The 25,192-nt window shown below is 41.4% G+C and overlaps 1 protein-coding gene and 1 non-coding gene across 5 annotated transcripts in view; one reads left to right on the top strand and one right to left on the bottom strand.

Annotated features, from left to right (window-relative positions):
- Nucleotides 1-25,192, bottom strand: part of ARHGEF4 (Rho guanine nucleotide exchange factor 4) — a 210,340-nt gene that overhangs the window by 103,736 nt on the left and 81,412 nt on the right. For 3 of the 4 annotated variants that reach the window (NM_001367493.1, NM_015320.4, NM_001375900.1), the window contains one exon: nt 12,261-12,566. In NM_001367493.1, coding sequence (NP_001354422.1) covers nt 12,261-12,566 — 306 coding nt within the window. The remainder of the gene's footprint in view (nt 1-12,260; nt 12,567-25,192) is intronic. The other variant, NM_001375901.1, reaches the window with a different exon arrangement.
- LOC124900527 (small Cajal body-specific RNA 4) lies at nt 13,634-13,756 on the top strand. The gene has a single exon (XR_007088720.1).

Raw genomic sequence — 25,192 nt, 5'->3', positions numbered from 1 at the left:
AGCAATGCAAATCAGAGAACAGAAAATGAATGATAACATGGTAAACCTAAATCCAAACCATCAATAAATACATTAAGTTTGAATACTCAAAGCACATAATCAGAAAAACAAATATTAAAATAATTAAGGAAAGAACATCTAACAATATGTTATCTACAAGAAACCTACTTTCAAAATAATGATAAAGGCAGGTAGAAAGTAAAAGGGTGAAAAACGATGCCACACAAGTACTAATCAAAAAGAAAATGTGAATGGCTATATTAATATCAGACAAAACCAATTTCAGAGCAAGGAAAATTACCAAGGACACAGAAGAACATAACATCATAAGAGTGAATTCACCAAAAAGACATATAATCCTAGATGTCCATGCATCTAACCACAGACATTCAAAATATATGAAGCAAAAATTTAAAGGAAAAATGGAAAATTTGCAATGATTCATTTCTGATTGGAAACTTCAGCACTTTTATCACAGTAATCAATAGAAGAAATAGACAAAAACAAGGTAATAAACAAAAACAAGGTAATAGACAAAGTGAGCAACACCATCAACCAACTGGAACTAATTGACATTTGTAGAATAGCCATCCAACAATAGCAGAATACCCATTATTTTCAAGTGCACATGGAACATTCACCAAGAGAGGCTATATCCTTGGTGATAATCATAATAATGAAATTTTAAAAAAGTTTGAAAGTATGAAATCATACAAAGTATGTTTCTCTATCACAATGGAATTAAACTATAAATCAGTAATAGAAAGGTAATTCTATTATTTTTCTTAAAAACGAAATCCTAATCTATTTAGAAATTAACACACTTCCAAAATAAAAACTGCACCATAGTTCCAGTGACTGCTTTGAAAACAGTGATCTAGTGCTCTGATTCACTCAACGTATGCGTTATTATTCCTGCTGTTCTAACCCTTGTATGTTACACCATATTATTACTTGCTTCTTTTCATACTTTTTTCAGAATTATACCTGCAGTTGATCTTTTTGTGTTTACACAAAAATATGATTTATGTATATCTGAGTAGTTGAAACTAGTAGAAACTACCAAACCAGCCAGGCGTGGTGGCTCATGCCTGTAATCCCAGCACTTTGGGAGGCTGAGGTGGGTGGATCACGAGGTCAGGAGATCGAGACCATCCTGGCTAACACGGTGAAACCCTGTCTCTACTAAAAATACAAAAAATTAGCCGGGCGTGGTGGCGGGTTCCTGTAGTCCCAGCTACTCAGGAGGCTGAGGCAGGAGAATGGCATGAACCCGGGAGGAGGAGGTTGCAATGAGCTGGTATCACACCACTGCACTCCAGCCTGAGTGACAAAGCAAGACTCCGTCTCAAAAAAAAAAAAAAAGAAAAAAGAAAAAAAAAACTACCAAACCATATTTGACTCAACTAGTCAAATATACTCAACTAGTATATAATCTCTATTTTCTATTAAATTATCAGGAATTATCTCTAGGCCTCCAAACCTTTTACAATCAAAGAATCTTAGGCTTGGAATCCTCTCAAAATCTACTTTAATCCTGCTTAAAGGGAAACTGGACCCTGTACACATATTCATGCAGGCCACATTACATTTTATTTTTTTAAATAGTCACTTAAGCTTGTGACTACAGTTGACTCTTGAACAACATGGGTTTGAACTGCACGGGTTTACTTATACATGGATTTTCTTCCACTTCTGCCACTTCTGAGACAAGACCAACTGCTCCTCTCCTTCCTCCTCCTTAGCCTATGGAATGTGAAGATGATGAGGATGAAGACCTTTATGACAACCCGCTTCCAGTGAGTAAATAGTAAATATATTTTCTCTTCCCTCTGATTTTCTTAACATTTTCTCTTTCTCTGGCTTACTTTATTGCAACAATACTATATATACTACTTATAATATCTTACAACATACAAAATAAGTGTTAGACTGTTTATATTATCAACAAGGCTTCTGGTCAACAGTAGGCTATTAATAGTTAAATTTTTCAGGAGACAAAAATTATACATGGAGCTGAGTATGGTGGCTCACACCTGTAATCCTAGAACTTTTGGAGGCCGAGGCAGGCAGATCACCTGAGCTCAGGAGTTTGAGACCAGCCTGGCGAACATGGTAAAATCCTGTCTCTACTAAAAATACAAAAATTAGCCAGGCGTGGTGGCATGCACCCGTAATCCTAGCTACTCGGGAGGCTGAGGCAGAATTGCTTGAACCCAGGAGGTGGAGGTTGAAGTGGGCTGAGATCACGCCACTGCACTCCAGCCTGGGGAACAGAGCAAGACTCCATCTCAAAAAAAAAAAAAATTATAAATGGATTTTCGGCTGTGTGGGTGGTTGGTACCCCTAACCCCTGCATGGTTTAAGGGCCAACTGAATATCCGTTTGACAAAACGTTTTCTCAGGTCATTTCTCATATGGGTTACTTAAACATTCTCTAAGTCTTCCCTTCTTGTTCTACAGCAAATTTATCATGCCATTTTTATGTTAAAAATCATAAAAGGCTGCCTCCTGCTTATAGAATAAAGTAAAGATCTATTGGCATGGAACCCAGAGTTCCTCGAATACTGTTTTCTGACTACTGTAACAACTCTTGCCATCCATCTCTCTACCACCAGGCACCTGCTCACTACTTCCCTGATACTCCATGAATTTTCTTTTTTTTTTTCTTTTTTTTTTTTTTTTTGAGACGGAGTCTCGCTCTGTCACCCAGGCTAGAGTGCAGTGGCGCAGTCTCGGCTCACTGCAAGCTCTGCCTCCCGGGTTCATGCCATTCTCCTGCCTCAGCCTCTCCGAGTAGCTGGGACTACAGGCGCCCGCCACCACGCCCGGCTAATTTTTTTTTTTATTTTTAGTAGAGACGGGGTTTCACCGTGGTCTCGATCTCCTGACCTCGTGATCCACCCGCCTCGGCCTCCCAAAGTGCTGGGATTACAAGCGTGAGCCACCGCGCCCGGCCTACTCCATGAATTTTCATACTACCATCCGAGGTCAGGAGATCGAGACCATCCTGGCTAACATGGTGAAATCCCGTCTCTACTAAAAATACAAAAAATTAGTCGGGCATGGTGGCAGGCACCTGTAGTCCCAGCTATTCGGGAGGCTGAGGCAGGAGAATGTCGCGAACCTGGGAGGCAGAGGTTGCAGTGATGTTGCTATCCCCTCTATTTGAACTACGCTTCCCTGCTGAAACTTTATCCATTCTTAGGAAAGTGTCTCCTTTTATGCAAAATATTTCCTTATGTTCCATCTACACAGAATTACCCACCTCCTCCTCTCTGTTAACAGTATTTTGTTGATATCACTGTAGCACCTGTATTGTTGTATAATTACTATACAAATCTTAGTACCTGGAAGTGGGATACAGCTATAACAAACACCTACAAATTTGGAAGTGACTTTGGAATTGGGCAGTAGGCAGAGGCTGGAAGAAAAGAAATAAAAAGAATACACACTAGAAAGGAAGAAATACCCCCTGCCCCCCATTTTAAGGTGATATGGTTGCTTACATAGATAGTTTCCAGTAATCTATAAAAAACAACTACATTTGAACTAACAAATGAATTCAGCAGAGTCACAGGATACAATATCAACACATAAAAATCAATCGCATTTCCATATACTAAAAATCAACTTGTGGAAAATGAAATTTAAAACACAATATTTGTAATAGTTCCTAGGAAAATTAAATACAAAAGTATACATTTTAAAAATGCAGAGGATCTGTATGCAGAAAATTACAAAATTCTGACAAAAGAAGTTAAAGAAAACCTAAATAAATGAAAAGATATACCTGTATTCTTGTGTTGGGAGACAAAACATAATGAAGATGACTGTTTCCCATAAATTAATTTATAGGTTTTCTGCAGTCTCATCAGATTCTCAGCAAAGCATTTGTAGACAAGACAAACTTATTTTCATATTTATTATTGGAAGGAACTAGCCATGGAACGTGTAAAACAATGTTGAAAAAAAAGAAATATAGTGGAAGGACTCCATCTAATCAACATGAAGGCTCAGTACATAGCTTTGAAGATCAAGACAGTGTGGCACTGGTGGAAGCATAGACACATGGATCGACAGTACCAAACAGAGAGCCTAGAAACAGGCATAAGTATATCCAACTGATTTCTGGCAAAGGTGCAAAAGTGATTCAGTGAGGAATAATAACTCTTTTCAACAAGTGGTCCAACAGTATCCACAGGCAAAAAAAGAAAAAAAGAAAAGAAGAAAAGAAACTTCACCTAAATCCCACAACTTATGCAGCCATAAGAAAGAATGAGATCATTTCCTTTTGCAGCAACATGGTTGCAACTGGAGGCCATTATCCTAGGGAAACTGACACAGGAACAGACAACCAAATACCACATGTTCTCACTCATAAGTGGGAGCTAAACATTGAGTACATATGGACACAAAGAAGACAACAACAGATTCTGAGGCCTACTTGAGGGTGGAGGGCAGGAGGAGGGTGAGGACTGAAAAACTACCCATCCAGTACTATACTTATTACCTTGGTGACAAAATCTGTACACCAAACCCTTGCAACACGCAATTTACCTATATAACAAACCTGCCCATGTACCCCTGAACCTAAAATGAAAGTCAAAAAATTAACTGGAAATCAATCACAAACTTAAATGTGAAAAGTACAATGATGAAACTTTAGAAAAAACAGAAGAAAATCTTTGAGACTTAGGGGTCACTGAAGAGTTTTTAGACATGATGCCAAAAGCACATCCATAAACGAAAAAAATTGATTAAGTAGACTTCAACAACATTTAAAAATTTGTTCTGTGAAGACCCTGGTAAGAAGATGAAAAAACAAGCTACAGACTAGGTGATAATGTTTGTAAACCACAAATTCAACAAAGGACTAATATCTGGAATATGAATATATATAATACACAGACACATATACACTCTGTCTCTCAAAGACCAACATTAAAAAAATGCCTTGCCTTACCTCTCAATTGTTTGAGGGGAGAGAATGAAAAGGCTATCCAGTTAGAAAGTGGATAAAAGAACAGAAAAGACATTTCACCTAAACTGTTGTACCAATGGCAAATATGCACACGAAAATATTTTCTACATTATGGCGCCTTAGAACCCAACCATTTCCAAAATGAGTTATCACTACACCACTATTACTATTATGGTAAAAATTTAAAAGTAGCAAAAAAACAAATGCTGATAAGAATGCTGAGAAGCTGGATCATGCAAACATTACTGGTGGGAATGTAAAATGGTACAGCCCTCTCGAAAATAATGTGGAAGATTCTTATCAAACTAAACAGACAACTATCATATGACCCAACAATTGTACTCTTGGGCATTTACCCTAGAGAAATGAAAACATATGTTATTAAACATATTATTTATAATAGCCCAAACCTGGAAACAATCTAGATGTCTTCGAATAGGTGAATGATTAAACAAGTTGTTGTAGGTCCAGGCCACGGAATACTGTCAGCAACATACATGCAGCCACTTTGTTGCCACATTATAATATTCAAGATGCCCAGTTTTCAACAAAAAATTATGATACAAAGGCCGGGTGCAGTGGCTTATGCCTGTAATCCCAGCACTTTGGGAGGCCGAGGCGGCCAGATCACGAGGTCAGGAGATCGAGACCATCCTGGCTAACACGGTGAAACCCCATCTCTACTAAAAATACAAAAAATTAGCCGGGCATGGTGGCGAGTGCCTGTAGTCCCAGCAACTTGTGAGGCTGAGGCAGGAGAATGGTGTGAACCCGGGAGGCAGAGCTTGCAGTGAGCCGAGATCGCACCACTGCACTCCCGTCTGGGTGACAGAGCGACATTCTGTCTCAAAAAAAAAAAAAAAATTATGATACAAAGACACAAGAAAGTATGGCCCACTCAGGGAAAGAAAAGAAATGAACAAGAACCATCCCTGAGAAAGCACAGGGTCTTCTTACTAGACAAAGACTCTAATCAACTGTTTTAAATATGCTTAAAGAGCTAAGTGAAACAAAAACCACTAAAGGAACCAAAAGAATGATGTCTCATCAAATGGAATACCAATAAAGAGAAAGTATTAAAAAAACAGGTAAAAGTTCTGGAGTTGAAAAGTACAATAATTAAAATTCAATGTAACATGTCTGAGTAGGCAGAAAAAAGAATCAGTGGATTTGAAGATGGCCAATTGAGATTTTCCAATATGAAGGAAAGCAGCATGGAGAAAATTAACAGAACCTGAGAAGCATGAAGAAAATTAACAGAACCTAGGGCACCATCAAGCACACCAACATACCTATAATGGAATCTCAAAAGAAAGAGAGAAAGCCCAGACACAGTGGCTCACACCTGTAATCCCAGCACTTTGGGAGGCCGAGGGGGGAAGATCACCTGAGGTCAGAAGTTCAAGACCAGCCTGACCAACATGGAGAAACCCCATCTCTACTAAAAATAGAAAAAAAATTAGCCAGGCCTGGTGGTGCATGCCTGTAATCCCAGCTACTTGGGAGGCTGAGGCAGGAGAATTGCTTGAACTTAGGAGGTGGTGGTTGCGGTGAGCCAAGATTGCACCATCGTGCTCCAGCCTGGGCAACAAGAGTGAAACTCCATCTCAAAAAAAAAAAAAAAAAAAGAAAAAAGAAAAAAAAAAGAAAGAAAGAGAGAAAATGATCAGAAAGACTTCTGAAGAAATAATTGTGGAAAATTCCTAAATTTGGTAAAGTACATGAATCTACACATCCAAGAAGCTCAGTGAACTCAATGATGGATAAACATAAAGACTTACACTGAGACACATTGGAACAAAATAGCTGAAAGCCAAAGACAAAAAGTGAATCTTGAAATCAGCAATAGAGAAGTAATTCACCATGTACAAGGGATTCTGAATAAGATTAACAGCTGATTTCTCCTCAGAAACCAAGGAGGCCAGAGGCAGTGGGATGACACATATAAAAAGAGGGAAAGAAAAAAAAGGTTCAGCAGAAGTTATATATCTGGGAAAACTGTACTTCAAAAATGAATGGAAAAATTATCCCATGCAACTAATAACCAAAAGAGAGCTGGAATGTCTAGACCAGCACCAGACAAAATAGATTTTAAGTTGAAAACTGCTATAAAGACAAAGAAATACATTATAGATTGATTAAAAAGTCAGTTCATCAAGAAGATATAACAATTACAAACATACGTACCTACAAACTGAGCAACAAAAATCGACAGAAATCATGTGAGAAATAGTTCTGCAATAATAGTTGGAGACTTCAACACCCTTCCAATAATAAACGGACATAAGGTCAGTGAGGAAATAGAGGTCTTGAATAATACTATAAACCAATTAAAACTAACAGACATATACAGAACACTAAACCAAACAACAACAGAATACACATTCTTCTCCAGTACACATGGAACATTCTCCAGAAAAGACCATAAGTCTTTTACAGAAAACAAGTTTCAGTAGATTTTTTTTTTTGAGGTGGAGTTTCACTCTCGTTGCCCAGGCTGGAATGCAATGGCATGATCTTGGCTCACTGCAACCTCTGCCTCCCGGTTTCAAGCAATTCTCCTGCCTTAGCCTCCCCAGTAGCTGGGATTATAGGCATGCACCACCACGCCCAGCTGATTTTGTATTTTAGTAGAGACTGGGTTTCACCAGGTTGGTCAGGCTGGTCTCGAACTCCTGACCTCAAGTGATCTACCTGCCTTAGCCTCCCAAAGTGCTGGGATTACGTGCATGGCCACCATGCCTGGCCAGTAAATTTTAAAAGACTGAATTCATATGAAGTATCTTTTCTGATTGCAATGTAATGACACTAGATGTCAATAGGAGAATGGAAAATTCACAAATATATGGAAATTAATACAATATTAAACAGCCAGTGAGTCAAAGAAGAAATCATAAGATTTCACAAGAAAGAAAAGAAGAAATCACAAAATTAGAAAATACTGTGAGATGAATGAAAACAAAAACACAACCTATCAATGCTTATGGATGCAGTGAACGCTATGCTGAGAGGGAACTTTCTAGTTGTAAAAGCCTAAATTAAAAAAGAATTTCTCAAATCAATAGTCCAATTTTACATTTTTAGTCTAATTTAACAAGAAAAAGAAGCACAAACTAACCCCAAAGCTAATAGATGGAAGAAAATAATAAAGATGAAAGTAGAGACACATTAAATATAGTAATAGAAAAACAATAGAGGCCAGGTGCAGTGGCTCATGCCTGTAATCCCAGCACTTTGGGAGGCTGAGGTGGGCAAACCACTTGAGCCCAGGAGTTGGAGACCAGCCTGGGCAACATGGTGAAACCCTGTTTCTACCAAAAATACCAAATACCAGTCCCATAACTCAGTCTCTAAATAAATAAATAAATGAATAAATAGATAAAAAATTAAAAATGGGATAAAAATAAGAAAAATAATAGAGAAAATCAAGACAACCAAAAACAGATTCTATGAAAAGACTAATAAAATTGATAAGCATTTAGCTACACTGAGGAAAAAAAGAGAGAAAATACAAATTACTAAAATTAGAAATGAGAGTGGAGGCATTACTACTGATGTTACAGAAATTTAAAAGGATTATAAGAAAACACTATGGACAATTGTATATCAACAGATTAGATAATGTAGATAAAATGGAGAAATTCTTAAGAAAAACACAAGCCAAATGACTCAATAAGAAATACAAACTTTGGCCGGGTACAGTGGCTCATGCCTGTTATCCCAGCACTTTGGGAGGCTGAGGCGGGCAGATCACTTGAAGTCAAGAGTTCGAGACCAGCCTGGCCAACATGGTGAAACCCTGTCTCTATCAAAAAATACAAAAATTAACCATGCATGGCAGTGCATGCCTGGAGTCCCAGGTACTCAGGAGGCTGAAGCAGGAGAATCACCTGAACCCAGGAGGTGGAGGTTGCAGTGAGTCAAGATCATGCTGCTGCACTCTAGCCTGGGTAACAGAGTGAGACTCCATCTCAAAACAAAACAAAACAAGAAGAAATATAAACTCTTAACAGGTCTATGACAAGTAAAGAATTGTTTTTTCACCAACCTGACACTAAAAGAAAAGAAAAAAGAATTGAATCAGTAATCAGAAACCCCACAACAAAGAAAAGCCCAGGACCAGAAAGCTTCACTGGTGAACTATACAAGATATTTAAAGAAGAATCTTTCTCAAATGCTTTCAAAAAATAGAAGAGGAGAGAGCACTTCCTAACTCATTCTATAAGACCAGAATCACTCTGATACCAAAGCCAGAGAAAAACATCACAAGAAAAGAAAACTGCAGATGAATACATATTCAATGTAATATACCACATTAATAGGTCAAAGAAAACATGCATGATTATCTCAGTTGATGCAGAAAAACCGTCATCAAAATTGATCATGCACTTAAAAAATCCAGCACCCTTTCATGATAAAAACACTAGAAATAGAAACGAACTTCCTTAACATGATAAAACGGCATTTGTGAAAAACACACAGCTAACATCATACACAATAGTGAAAGACTGAAAGCTTTAATCCTAAAACCAAGAAGACAACGACACCCCATTTCACCACTTCTGCTCAACATTGTTATGTAAGTTCTACCCAGAGCAAGTAAGGGATAAAAGAGAAATCAAAGGCATCTAAACTGGAATGGAAGAAGTAAAGTAATCTATTTTTATAAATGATGTAATCTTATACATAGAAATTTCCAAAGAATCCACAAAAATATTATTATAGCTAATAAATGAATTCAGCAACGTTTCAGGATATAGGATCAATAAACAAAAATCAATTGTATTTTTATGCTCTAGCAATGGATAATCCCAAAATGAAGCTTTTAAAAATTTCCATTTATGATGTCATCAAAAAGAACAAAATACTTAGGAAACATTTTAACCAAGGATGTGCAAGACTTTTTACAGTGAAAACTACAAAACACTGCTGAAAGCAATTCAAGAACACCTCCCAAAAACGGAAAGACACCCAGTGTTCATGGATTTGAAGACTTAATATTATTAATATGGCACTACTCTCCCAAGTGATCTACAGATCGAATGCAATCCTATGGAAATCCCAAGGGCCTTTATTTTTTTGCAGAATTGGAAATTATAAGATTCATATGAAATTGCAAGGTCCAACAAAAAGCCAAAACAATTTTGAAAAAGAACAAAGAAGACTCTCACATTCCAATTTCAAAACTTATTATAAAACTATGATAATCAAAACAATGTGGTACTGACATAAAGACAGACATATAAGTTAATAGGATAGAATTGAGAGTCAAAAATACACCCACACATCTAAGGTAATTTGACTTTTTTTTTTTTTTTTGAGACAGGGTCTCACTCTGTCACCCAGGCTGGAGTGCAGTGGTGCAGTCTTGGCTCACTGTGACCTCTGCCTCCCAGGTTCAAGTGATTCTCCCACCTCAACCTCCCGAGTAGCTGGGAGTACAGGTGCGTGCTACCACACTGGCTAATTTTTGTATTTTTAGTAGAAACAGGGTTTCACCATGTTGTCCAGGCTGACGTCGAACTTCTGGCCTTAAGTGATCCACCGCCTCGGCTTCCCCAAGTGCTGGGATTACAGATGTGAGCCATTGCGCCTGGCGGGTAAGTTGGTTTTTGACAAGGATGCCAAGACCATTCAGTAAGGGACAGAATAGTCTCTTCAACACATGGTGTTTGGGTAACTACATATCCGCATGGAAAATATTAAAATTGGACCTCTATCTCATACCATACAAAAATTAAATCAAAATGGATCAAAGACCTAAATTTAAAAGCGAAAGGTATAAAACTCTTAGAAAAAAACAGAGGTAAATTTCATTACTTGGATTTGGCAATAGATTCTTAGGTATGACATCAAATGCACAAGCAACAAAAAAAAATAGATAAAGTAGATTTCATCAAAATTAAGTACTTATGCATCAATGGGTACTATCAAAAAAGTGAAAGGCACTCTACAGATGGGAGAAAATATTTGCAAATGACATATCTTATAATGGTCTTACATTCAGAATATGTAAAGGATTCCAGGCCAGGCGCGGTGGCTCATGCCTGTAATCCCAGCACTTTGGGAGGCCAAGGCCAGTGGATCACTTGAGGCCAGGAGTTCGAGACCAGCCTGGCCAACATGGTGAAACTCCATCTTTACTAAAAATACAAAAATTAGGTGGGCATGGTGGCAGGCACCTGTAATCCCAGCTACTCAGAAATGGATGAAGAGCTACTCAGGAATGGATGTATGGATGAACAAAGTGAGACAAGTACTGTATAATCACATAACGAAATGTTACTTAGCCATACAAAGAAATGAAGTATTGATATGTGCTATGACATGGATAAAACACGACGCTAAGTGAAAAACGCCAGTCACAAAAGGTCACGTATCATGTAATTACATTTATATGAAAAATCCAGAATAGGAAGACCCATAGAGACAGGAAGCAGATGAGTATTTCCAGGGTCTGGGGAGGGGAAATGGGGAATAGGGTTTCCTTTAGGGGTGATGAAAATGCCTTGGAGCTGGACAGAGGTGGTGGTCGCAAAATATAGTGAATGAATATACTAAATGCCAATGAATTCTTCACTTTAACATGGTTAATTCTACATTATGTGAATTTCACCTCAGTTTTAAAAAGTGAGTCTTCAAGGATGAGGTGAGACTCAGAGATGTGTACTTCACAAACACTTGATATTAAATATTGCTATTTATAAAGGGAAAAAACAAGAAACTCTTGTCAGAGATTGGGTAAATGGCATGATGTCTACACCATTAATTTACTTTTTAGTAGGCTGTCGGTTTCATGCAAAAAATCATGTTGTCAAAGTGTCCTAGAGACAAAATTGAATGGACAACATAATGACTTTAGTTAATTTGGTTAAGATTGTCTTATTGAAATGTTCTGTGCCTCTGTGAGTGGCAGAGCCAATGCTAGGGCAGTGTCTAATCATGTCGGGCACACAGCAGGCACTCATTAAATGGCAGTCTTCTCTGCACTACTACCTTGCATGGAGCTGGCCACAGGCAGAGACATACTACAGAGAAGGAAGAGGGGGCCCTGGCTTCTGTGGCTCTGGGGAATGCACTGCTCAAAGTGTCTCTCTTGCAGGCCCTCGACTGCAGTACTGAGTGTGGCCCAGGCAGCATGCTGTAATCCAAGGGGGCCCAGGGTGACAAGTTACATCTCAGGAGAGTCAGGCAAAAGCTCAGGAAGCAACAGGCAGCTGCAGAGAGAAGGGGATACCAGACCAAGTCTGAGGACTCCTGGCCGGGAGTGGCTTACCTTGACTCCATCTTTGTGCACTGCCCCTATGTGCAGCCTCCTTTCGACGTGGGCCTGCTTCTGCAACTTCTTTCTCTGTGTCTTCTCCAGCCACAGGTCATCCACACTGACGGGCGAGCGGTGAGGGATGCCCCTAGGCTGTGAAGGAGCCTCCCCACGCACAGTCTCTGCAGAGATGCAGAGGAGGGCCCATGTCACCATGTCAGTGGTGAAGCAGGGCTTCTGGGCAGGCTCCATGTGGAACGCCTTCTGACTGTGAGAGCAACTGGGCTTCTCACCTGCTGGTTCTTCCCAGGGCATGTGGTTCTGGAGAGCAGAGAGAACGGGTCAGGGGTCAGAGGTCAAAGGACATATCAACTGGGAACACGCTGTCCTTCCTCTGCCTAGTTCCTTTTGGGTATAACACTATGTTTTGGTTAATTTTCAAAGTACAGAGTCCAGTGAAATACTTTGTTCACAGTCATTTTGGAAAATGTGAAGATTAGGAACAAAACAAATCTTGTCTCTGTTAAAATGTCTACTTTCAAGAGTATTTTTTAAAAAATCTAGCCTTCTATTTTGATCAAAGAATTAGGCCTTGAAAGTAATTACTGAACTTGGCATGCTCATTAGAAATACTTTTTAAAGGCCAGCAACTGGGGTAAAAGTTCCCGTTTAAACAACATTCCCTTATGAACAAAACTGAAGCAGAAGCACTCTTCCAGAGCCCAGTACCTCTTCTAGCTTGACTCTGATGCTCACTGAAATGCAGGCAAGACTCCACCTCACCCACATTGCCACCACCATCCCTGGTTGCCGTTACGCACCAGGCACCTTAAGGATTTCAAAATAAAATATGCCCCCACTAGCAGAATAGTTAGGCCTGTGTTGGCATCACCAGCATCTCTGTTGTTTGGAATTTGCCACTGGGAGAAGAAACCCTTTTCTTCACACATGTTGTCCAAGTCTAACGATCCCCTATGCCCACCCCATGAACACCTACTTTGTAGCAGCAACCTCTGTGGAATGGCATCCCCAAGCACTCTGTGTGTACTGTTTGCTAAAAACTAAGGTGAAATTTCTTTTAAGTATTTCAAGTCTGCCTTAAAAATGTATCTATGCTGTTGGGAGGCCGAGGCGGGCAGATCACGAGGTCAGGAGATTGAAACTATCCTGGCTAACACAGTGAAACCTCGTCTCTACTAAAAATACAAAAAACTTAGCCAGGTGTGGTGGTGGGCCCTGTAGTCCCAGCTACTCGGGAGGCTGAGGCAGGAGAATGGCGGGAACCCCGGGAGGCAGAGCTTGCAGTGAGCCGAGATTGCGCCACAGCACTCCATCCTGGGCAACAAAGCGAGACTCGGTCTCAAAAAAAAAAATGAAAAAGTATCTATACTGGAGGACTAAGGAGGCTGGGTCTGATGAGGCAAGATTTTGCTGATACATTGCTCCTAGAAAAAAGGGTTGGCAAGAGCAGCCCTGGAGACTCACACGGCTGACTGTTCTACCCAACACTCTACTCCAGTTGTACAGGAGACTGTTTTTGCTATAATTTCTTACTGATATATCAGTTGGAGAAAAGTGGGTATGCTTACTTAATATTGGATCTTGGGTTTTGCCTCTTAAATATCTCTTGCTGAACAGAATATGATGCTTATTTTGTAGGTAAGTACATGGAAAATGAAGTTCTTATTTTAAATAAAGCTCCTCGATAGAGTTTATTTTTATGGTAGAAATTGTAGGGGGTCCTTATTCTGGAAGTGATTAGATGTACTTGGGAGATTACAGTATTTTGCATAAGAATTTTCTACAAGATTAGGATTTAATTATAGATTCTCTGCTTAATCTGAGGTATTCTAAAATTAAAAATGTATACATATGCATATGTTTACAGTGAAAGAGAGAGAGATGGAGGAAGAGAAACTGGATGGCTGGATAATTATTACATAATGGTTTTGGGGTACAGCCTGGGAAGTAAGACTTTTTCTAGCTCTCCAGGTATGTCCAAGGTTGCAAACCACTGATCTAATGTGTTTATTTGAGCTCCCAAATATTGCTCTACATTTAAAAACTATTTTCAGCTAGTTATTTCTCCCCAAGTACCTTGTGGATCAGAAACAGCTGGTTTCTTCTCCCTTAGAAACTCAGAGAACTTAAGCGACTTGCCTCAGAGCAAGTCCTTGCCCAGAGGCACCCAGCTGGATCCTCTGGGCTATGCAGCAACAGATAGACCATACTCCTGGGAATGGGTGAAAAATGGATTTCTGAGCCCTGAGGGAATGGTTGGCAATTTGTGTCTAAAATGCCCTCCAGGGAATTCTGAGGCAAAGCTAGTCTGAGAATTACTGTACTAGACAGACAGATAGAATAGAGAGAGGCAAGGTAGCTCAGGCTGTCCTGGTGGTCCTCATGTGTCCAGGGGAGGGGGCCAGAAAGCAGACTTTGGGGTGGGATAATCTGAGTTTGACTAAAGGAACTTTTGTCCTTCGTTGTATTCCCAAAAGAGCAGCATTAAGAAATGATGAGACGATGGTAGATGAGAAAGTTCAAGAAAATCTGGAAAGGGTAAAGTAGATGTAGGAGGGGTAGATGGTGCTGCAGAGCACAGGAAGCTATCTAAAGAAATGCAGATGACTTGGAGTTCACAGGGAAGGAAGCAGGCAGAGGTTCTGGTTTAAAGTTTGTAAGTGTGACCCTCAGTTAAGGTCCCAGCACAGTCAGCCACGTGACTGTGTATACTCCCCTTTCCATTTCTCCTTCCCTCAAACTGCCAGCCAAGATCAAACACGAGAGACTTGTGGTCCTGAATAATTGAACAAGAATCTCCAGCTTGTGGGGACCACGGACTTAACTGGTGAAAGCAGTGGAGAGGTTTGGGATGAAAACAGCATAACAAGAAAACCTGCATGGTGAACAGGGAGCGACTCAGCACCCTGCTTCATTCTTTCCCGGTATAATCCTGTATCTTCTCAATAAATGACTGGAGGATACCGCTCTGGAGAAACTGACCCACCTCAGAGAAGAGACCTCTAAACATTGACTTATAAAATAAGCAACTTCTCTTTTAAAGTCACTTGATAGGAAAGCACACTAGCCAATTAGCTCCACAAATGCCCACATAATATCTAAACAGATATTTGGTGTCTTACTCTGAAATAAATATGAAATTCACCCAAAGATTGCTAGGCATTTAGGAAAAACCTTCAACACACTAAAATGACCAAAATAAACAAATAGGGAAAAAAACTAGGAAAGAGAAAATGTAAAGGATAGAAGAAAACTTCAAAATAACTAAAATTAATAACCTGAAGAAGAAAAAGGAAGACACTGAAATCATTAAACAAGAACAGTATGCTATGAAAAAACAAAACAGGAAACTTCCAATTCTGGACAAGATGGCATAGACACACTTCCTGTTTGTTTCACTAAGCACCGCTAAAAACCTAAGACATTATGTATAAAACAAAGATACGAAAACAAAGACATCTGAATGGTGGCGAGAAGAAAGTAGACCAGCTAGGGATCATAAAATACAAGGAACAACACCAGGTAGTTCCCTAGGTTTTCTTTTGCCGCATATATACCACTCATACATGCTTCCTATATGGATGCTGAACAGTCTTGCTGGAGCTGTCACTAGGTCCAGACAGAAAAGCTCCAACAGAAATCTGCATTCTCTAGCTAAAGGACCAGCCTAGCAAGACAGAAAACTTTTAGACAAATGCTCTACTCAAGCCAAACATTAGGTAAAAACCATGCAACACACCCCTGTCTCCCTCACACCCCAGCAAAGCCTGAGTGAAGAACTCCCAACCTCACCTGTCATGGGTCACATATGTCCCCGAGCCAAGTGGTGTGAGAGAAGGCTGATGGGAAAGCTTGAACTTTCTTCCCCTGCCAGTGTTAGTGAGGCCCTCCACCATGCTGTCTGTGAAGACAATGTGTGAGGCCAGTCTTCCATCCTCTTCCTGGTGTCAGTGAGGCATTCCTCCCCTGACCTGCTGGGGTAATGCAGGAGAAGGCCTGCTAGAGAGCCAGCACCTTCACCACCAGCTAGCATTCACAAGGCCTCCTGATCCCACTGACAGAGCAGGAGTATCACCATCTTGGACAAGCACCCACTGCCATTCTAAAGTCCACCTTGATCAAAAACTGCCTAAATCTAAAGGGCATCAACCTAATGGCTAAGATCAACATGACCATAAACCACAAATAACGTCTCTGACCAGAAACATTCCAAACCCCTCCCCAACCAGAGACATGCCAACCCCAAGATAACCTCTCCTTCAGCCAGAGAGATGTCAGCCCCAAGATAACCTCCCCTCCAACCAGAGACATTCCAACCCCACCATAAACTTCTCCCCCCAACAGAAATATTCCAAGCCTGTAATAAGCTCTCTCACCAATACATACTCTTAGTCTGTAAGAGTGCTCCTGACCAAAAAAAAAAAAAAAAAAAAAAAAAAAATCAGCCAGAAGTCCCTCTCAGGTTTATTTTCCAAAATAAACCTGTCTTTGACTGTTGAGCCACTTTTTGTGTTTCTTTCCTCTTTCTTTAACTCTTACACCAAGCTATCGGTGCAAGCTTGTTGTAAAATCTTAACTCTCATCCCTGCCTATTAGTAAATGAAACACCCATCCTTGCATAAGGTGTCAATAGAGGCCAATAAAGGAATGTAGGGTTTCACCCAAACCTGGAAATAATGAGGTAGTGCCCACCTTCCCACACCAAAGTGGAGTCAGAGGTGGTTTTCCAAAACAAGATTTAAATAAGATACAAAGACTCCACTCCCCAAAATATCCAGAATAAAATAGAAACTCATTAATCATAACAAGAACAGGGAAAATCTCAACTTGAATAAAAAAGAGAGTCAACAGACACCAGCACTGAGAAGACAGAGGTGCAGGAATTATCAAACAAAGATTTTAAAGCAGCCATCATAAAAATGCTTCAAAAAGCAATACAAATACTCATGAAACAAATGAAAAATAGAACAGCTCAGAAAATGGAAAATCTTAGCAAAGAAATAGAATATATAAAGAATATCTAACTGGAAATTATAGAATTGAAAAATATAGTAACTGAAATAAAACGTTCAGTTGATCAGCTTACAGGAGAATGGAGAGGATAAGAGGATCAGTGAACTTGTAGATGGAAGAGACAGAATTATACAATCTGAACAACAGAGAGAAAACAGACCAAAGAAAGAAAGAAAGAAAGAAAGAAAGAGAAAGAAAGAAAGAAAGAAAGAAAGAAAGAAAGAGAGAAAACCAAACAAATAGAGCATCATGGACCTGTGAGACTGCAAAGAAAGATCAAACACTAGATAACTGGAGTCCAAAAGAGAGAGGACAAAGTGGGTTGGGGTGAAAAAGTATTTAAAGAAATAATGCTCAGAATTTCCTAAATTTGGCCAAAGATATAAACCCATAGATTTAAGAAGCTGTGCAAAGTCCACATAGTATAAATCCAAAGAAATCCACATGAAGAAGAAACATAAGCAAACTTCTGAAATCTAAGGACAAATAAAAAATATTGAGAGCAGTGAGAGGGTAAAAAGACACCTTCCTTATAAGAGAAAAACATTTTAAAAGGCATCAGACACCTGGAGGCCAGAAGGAAGTGACATAAAACTTTTCAAGTGTCACTTTTCAAGAAAATAACTATTAACTTAGAATCTTTTATCCAGTGAAAATATTCTTCAGTAATGAAGGGAAAATTGAGACATTCTCAAAGAAAGGAAGAATGAGAGAATTTATTGCCTGCAGATCTACCCTTAAATAATGGCTAAAGGAAGTTCTTGCATTAATTTTTAAATAAACTGTGAGATTTAGGTCGAAGTTTTTCTTTTTTTGCTTTGGATGTCCAAATGCTCCAGCATTGTTTCTCGAAAAGACTATCCATTGAATTGCTTTTGCACCTAAAAATTGGTGGGTATATTTGTGTGGGTCTATTTCTGTGTTCTCTCTTCTTTCCCATTACTCTATGTAATTTTCCCTCCCCCAGTACTACATGGTCTTGATTACTTTATGTAATAAGCATGAATTAATATCAATTATTGATTCCCCTCACTTGATTTTTCTTTCTCAAAATTGTTTTAACTATTTTAGGGTATGTATCTCTCCATACAAATTTTAGATTATAAACATTTTAAAGGCTAGAAAATGTTCATTCTCTCTCTCTCTCTCTCTCAGACGCACACACACACACACACACACACACACACACACACACACACACACTTAGAACTCCTAAGCAGAAACAGTATGTTGGAATCTTGCCACCAAAGTTAGAACTGTGGCTGGTAGACAGGAAAGCTATCCAGCATTCATTCCATAAAGTGGATATTACACCCAGCAGAGACCTAGGAAATCACTTGGTCCAATCCTTGATAGACAAGGAAACTGGGTCTCAGTGTGGTCTTAACCCAAGGCTCACCGTCAGGTCAGAGTGGGTATTAAAACACTCACAGGAGTTTTGAATTTCCAGTCTCCTCTCATTCCTCTTGCCCAGCCACAGCTATTTCTGTCCTGCTCTCTCTCGGTCTTGGTGTCCTTCCTAAGCCCCTCCAGCCAGGGGCATGATCCTGTATGCATGCCTTCAGCAGACGCTGGAGCCTGCTTCCCCTGGAATCAAAGGCTCTCTGCCCCCAAACCTGAAATCCCAGAGGAAAGAAATCTCTAAATGCAAACAGCACCTTTCACACCAGAGGACTGCCTCGTGCTGGTCTGCATCATACACACACGCAGAAATACTCCACGGTCTGGGCGGATCACAAGGTCAGGAGTTCGAGACCAGCCTGGCCAACAGAGTGAAACCCCGTCTCTACTAAAATTATAAAAAATTAGCTGGGTGTGGTGGCGGGTGCCTGTAATCCCAGCTGCTTGGGAGGCTGAGGCAGGAGAATAATTCGAACCCGGGAGACGGAAGTTGCAGTGAGCCGAGATCATGCCACTGCCCGTGACAGTGTGAGACTCGGTCTCAAAAAAAAAAAAAGGAACTATGCCACGGTCTCACAGGTGGGAGGTGAAACTGTGAGGGTTAAATTCTACAGCAATCCACAGGTGAGGAAAACAATCCTATCAAGACTGCAGCTAGGCCGGGAGCGGTGGCTCAAGCCTGTAATCCCAGCACTTTGGGAGGCCGAGGTAGGTGGATCACGAGGTCAGGAGATCGAGACCATCCTGGCTAACACGGTGAAACCCCGTATCTACTAAAAGCACAAAAAAATTAGCCGAGTGTGTTGGCGGGTGCCTGTAGTCCCAGCTACTCGGGAGGCTGAGGCAGGAGAATGGCATGAACCCGGGAGGCGGAGCTTGCAGTGAGCCGAGATCGTGCCACTGCACTCCAGCCTGGGCGACACAGCAAGACTCCGTCTCAAAAAAAAAAAAAGAAAAGAAAAGAATAAAAGAAAGACTGCAGCTAAAGCATCAGGCACCAATGGCGATGGCAAGACTGAGGGGATTCCTCCACATTACTAACATATGAGGCTGGACCTTCCAGGGCTCTATGGCTTCCTCATCAGTTGAGACTTGGTTCACATGTCAGACCCAAAATCTCCAAGCCAAGGGTGCCCCACCGTCAAACCTCTCAACTCTCTTTCTCATTTCCTTTTATCTGAAATGATCTTACTCGCTCACTAATTTATTGACTGCTGCATGCTGTCCTGCTGTGAGGACGGACATCCTGCTGTATTATTCAGTACAGTGTCCGCTGCATCTAGAACATTGCCCGCCCACAAGTGGCACTCAGCGAGCTCAGTTTATCGACTTGATGACCACGTGAGAGGAACTGGTAGACTGGTCAGTAATGCTTACTGTACAGCTACAGTGATTAAGATACTGTGTCAGAAGGACGGACAAACAGATGAATGGAACACAAATGCCAGTTACAGGCATCTCAGAGACCTACATGTAATAAGCAAGGCCGTGAAAGTTTTTAAGAAGGTAATTTAAGGGATTCTTTTCATGACCTTGGGGTAGAGAAAAGATGGATACACTTGACAACATTAAAATTGAGAATTTCTGTTCATCAAAAGATATCATTATGCCCAGGCGCGATGGCTCACGCCTGTAATCCCAGCACTTTGGGAGGCTGAGGTGGGTGGATCACTTGAGCTCATGAGTTCGAGACCACCCTAGCCAATATGGCGAAACCCATCTCTACTAAAAATACAAAAATTAGCTGGGTGTTGTGGCTCGCGCCTGTAGTCCCAGCTACTTGGGAGGCTGAGGCAGGAGAATTGCTTGAACCCGGGAAGCGGAAGTTGCACTGAGCCAAGATTGTGCCACTGCACTCCAGCCTGGGTGACGGAGCAAGACTCCATCTCAAACAAAATATATATATATATATATCATTAAAGAGGGAAAAGACAAGCCACACAAAATAGGAAATATCTGTGGCACATTTACCCACAATGCAATTCTATCAAGAATCAGTAAGAGAAAGACAACCCCAAAACAAATGGATGACAGACTAGGAGAGACATGTCCCACAAGAGAGTGAAAAAAAAAAATCTGAGGAATGTGAGCCCTTTAAATTATCAGGCCCAAACCCAAAAGGCATTTAAGACATAATATCTCACTCCCCCTCAGCTAAATAGCTACCTCTTGGAGCCACTTGCTATGCGGACTCTAGACTAACTCACTCTGAGGAGTCATAAAATGCCACATACCTTATAGCTCAACAAGGTATAGCCAATCACCAACCGGTGTTACTTCCATAAACCAATGAGAATTCCTGATAAACAACATTTGTACTCACTCCCTCTCCTGATTCCTCCTTTTTTTCTTTAAAAAATTTGAGCCTCTCTTTTGTTCTCTGGAGCACTCTCCAAGGCAACTTGGAAGTGTGTCCCAGGCTGCAGTCCTCGACTTCTGTGCTGAATAAACTCTTTTTTTTTTTTTGAGACAGAGTTTCACTCTTGTTGCCCAGGCTGGAGTGCAACGGTGCAATCTCGGCTCGCCGCAACCTCCACCTCCTGGGTTCAAGCGATTCTCCTGCCTCAGCCTCCCAACTAGCTGCGATTATATGCATGCGCCACCATGCCCGGCTAATTTTTGTGGTTTTTAGTAGAGACAGGGTTTCTCCATGTTGGTCAGGCTGGTCTCGAACCCCTAACCTCAGGTGATCCTGCTGCCTCGGCCTCCCAAAGTGCTGAGATTACAGGCTTGAGCCACTGCGCCCGGCCTGAATAAACTCTTTTTAAACTAGATTCTGACCTTTTTGATTATTTTAGTTTGACAAGGGTATCCAGAGTGTTGAAAAGCACATAAAAAGTTCCTTAGGCCAGGTGCAGTGGCTCATGCCTGTAATCCCAGCACTTTGGGAGGCCAAGGCAGGTGGATTACTTGACCTCAGGAGTTTGAGACCAGCCTGGCCAACATGGTGAAACCCCATCTCTATTAAAAATACAAAAATCAGCTGAGCGTGGTGGCAGGCGCCTATAGTCCCAGCTACTTGGGAGGCTGAGGCAGGAGAATTGCTTGAACCCAGGAGGCAGAGGTTGCAGTGAGCTGAGATCGCACCACTGCACTCCAGCCTGGGTGACAGAGGGGGACTTGGTCTCAAAAAACAAAAACAAAAGTTCCTTAGCCTCTTCAGACATCAGGAAAATGAAAACTAAAATCACAGTGAGATACTGCTACACACCTAGCAGAATGGCTAAAATTAAAAAGGCTGACAGTATCAACCAAATGTGAATGAGAACAGAGAGCAAAGGATACTCCTAATGAGAGAGTGTAATTTGATGCAATCACTTTGGAAAAATAATTTGACAGTATTTAGTATGACTAAAGATATGCATCCCCCAAGGACACCCCTAAAATGCAACCCACAGAAATATACATGCACGTGCAGTAGGCCCCTGACCCAAATGTTCACAGCAGCCCCAAACGGGCACAACCCCCAAGTCCATCAGCAGCTCACTGAGAAATACAATGTGTTATGATGATTCGGAGCAATTCAACATGCTGATGAGAGATCTCCTGACCTCGTGATCCGCCCGCCCCTGCCTCCCAAAGTGCTAGGATTACAGGCGTGAGCCACCGCACCCAGTCCACAGGATGATTCTTAATTAGAGCAGGGGAAGGCAGACACAAAATAGACTGAGTAAAGTTTAAAGCAATGTGTAAGATTTTGTTTATATAAACCTCAAAACAGGCCACCCCCACACCCATAGTAATAAAGTAGTAACACGATAATGAAATGCAAGTGAACACCATGAGATGGGGCATAGTGGGTAGGGCAGGGAGGAGGAAGGGAGGTGGCAGGAAGGGGGCAGGGTGGGGGATGTGGTGTTTCATGACCTGGTGGAGGTCATCCAGTGTCTGTTGACAATATATGTCTACACATTTATGTATTATGCTGTTCTGTAAGTCTTCTCTATTTCTTGACTTTGAAAAGCTTTAAAGAAACTGCAGGATGTAAAGTCACAGAAAATTAAGATCTCTATACACGATATTATCACAGCTATGTTACATATATAAAACTTGTCTGTGGAAGAAATCTAGAAGTAAACAACAAAATATTAAGAATGGTTGTTTTAAAAGATTGGGATAAGAGAACTGCTGCTCCTTAATACGAAGTGGGAATAACTGACTGAATTCCTTGCAAATTACTCTCACCATCAGAGCCTGCTCTCCCAGGAATGCCCACAAGATGGCGCAGTCATTTCTCCAAGGGGAGTTTCACATTCCAGCACCATCCAGGGTTCTACCAGACAGAGGGAACCTTTCTGAGCTTTGCTTCCCTTCCCGTTCCCTATGTACCTGCTGTTCTCCTGTCTGTGGTCTGATGGCGCAGTGTACTAGGCCTTCCTCTTCTCCAGTAAGGAATGAAACATAAAGAGGAATACGAACTCACATTTATCTGGCACCCGCTTCATGCCTGGCCCTTTGCTGTATACTTTATAATCATCATCTCACTTACTATTTGTTAAAACCCATGCAGACTCCAACTGGGGCAACAAGGTGAGACTCTGTCACTACAAAAAATTAAAAAATTATCTGGGTGTGGTGGCGCATGCCTGGGGGCTCAGCAACTTGGGAGGCTGAGGCAAGAGGATTGCTTGAGCCTGGGAGATCCAGGCTGCAGTGAACCGTGATCTCGCCACCACATTCCAGTCTGGGAGACAGAGCAAGACGCTGAATCAAACAAAATAAACAAAAAACAAACAGAAAGACACACACACAAAAAAAAACCCCAACAAACCAAGCAGGCTGTCCAGGTGTGTGCCTGAGGCCCAAAGCACCTGCTCCATCCCATGCACAACGTGAGCACAGGGACCACTTCCAGGAATATCTGCCTTCCAGTATGTGCTTCTGCACCATGTATGTGTGTGCATGTGTGTGTATACACAGACACATAGAGACAGATATGTATATATCACTTTTTTTTTTTTTGAGAGGGAGTCTCACTCTGTCGCCCAGGTTGGAGTGCAGTGGTGTGATCTTGGCTCACTGCAACCTTTGCCTCCCGGATTCAAGTGATTCTCCTGCCTCAGCCTCCCAAGTAGCTGGGATTACAGGCGCCCACCACCAGGCCCAGCTAATTTTTATATTTTTAGTAGAGACGGGGTTTCACCATGTTGGCCAGGCTGGTCTCGAACTTCTGACCTCAGGTGATCCGCCCGCTTCGGCCTCCCAAAGTGCTGGGATTACAGGTGTGAACCACCACGCATGGCCTATATCACTATTAAATCAGGCTTGTTAATTCAAATACTGTAAAATCTTTTTTTGACTACTTGATTTAACTCTGAGTTGCCTAACACTAAAATGTCTTTTTACTTGTAAATCAAGTTCTCTATGTATTTTCAGGTGATCAGAAACACAAAAGGGCAATAAGCAACTAAGTTGGAGGGGTGTGAGGAAATGGGCACTCAGATACTGCTGTTGAGTGTTGATTGCCAATCATTTCAGAAGTAATCTGAAAGCTATTAAAATACCCCTGCCCTTTGTGCAATCCCACTTTTATATCCAACAGACATAAATAAAAGCATCGATATCTAAGGACGCATGCTCAAGGGTGCTGCTGAAGCGTTATTTATAAAGACCCCAAACTAGAGATTACCTCAATGCCAATCAGTAGAAGAACCGTGAAAGGAAATACAGCATGGCCATACTCTGAACTATTATGGAACTTCTAAACAGAGCCATGAACATGAGGCGCTGGAGGGCTTTACCTGCTGTATTAAGCAAGCAAGAAAGATGCAGAGCAATGTGTATGTCTGACCCCGCGGTGTAATTCCCTCTCCCCAAACTGCCCCATAAGCCCTGTGTGAGAACACAATGAAAGATGAGACACCTTAGTATAGGGCAGTGTTTCCTTGCATGGAGTGGGATTAGACGGTTTTGGGGAGAGGCCTTTTCCTTTCTACATCTGTATTGTTTGGCTTTGTTTTTAAACTTCAGTAGTAACAGTAACGAAAAAAAGTAACCCTCCCCCCAAAACAACAAAAAACCTTTAGTGTTTAACTGCGTAGAGATACACAAACAGACTGAGGAGGTGAAGCCATTTCCTGCTGGTAGTGATCCTATTTCAATGTATGCTGTCCACTCGGCCTTGTGGGATGCTCTGCTGGGAAACCCCTTCTCGCCCAGCTCCGCCCCTCTTAGCAGCCCACCTGGCCTGGAGGCGCTCTGCCAGCACCTTATCTGCCGCCCTCCCAGCTGCGCAGCCCGTGAGCCCAGGTGTGGCTGACATCTGCCTGCAGGCGGAGGGGAGCGCCCGAGAGGCCACCGCGTGGGGTGGCTGTGGCCTGCGCTCCCCGGCTCTGGGCGCGCGGAAGACTCGGCATCGCTTGGTCTAAAGAAGCTGAGGGAGCCTTACTTTTTACTTTTCGCAGTCTCCAGGGCACGCTCTGCAATTTCCAGAAAAGCTCTCTCCTTCCAAGGGCAGCTGGGATGAGAAATCCAACCCTTCTCTGCTCCGTTCTGTGCCTGACCCTGCTAAC

Source organism: Homo sapiens, chromosome 2 (genome assembly GCF_000001405.40).
Source record: "Homo sapiens chromosome 2, GRCh38.p14 Primary Assembly".
NCBI lineage: Eukaryota > Metazoa > Chordata > Mammalia > Primates > Hominidae > Homo > Homo sapiens.
Note: the sequence above shows the minus strand (reverse complement) of the source record. Positions and strands in the feature narration are given on the sequence as shown.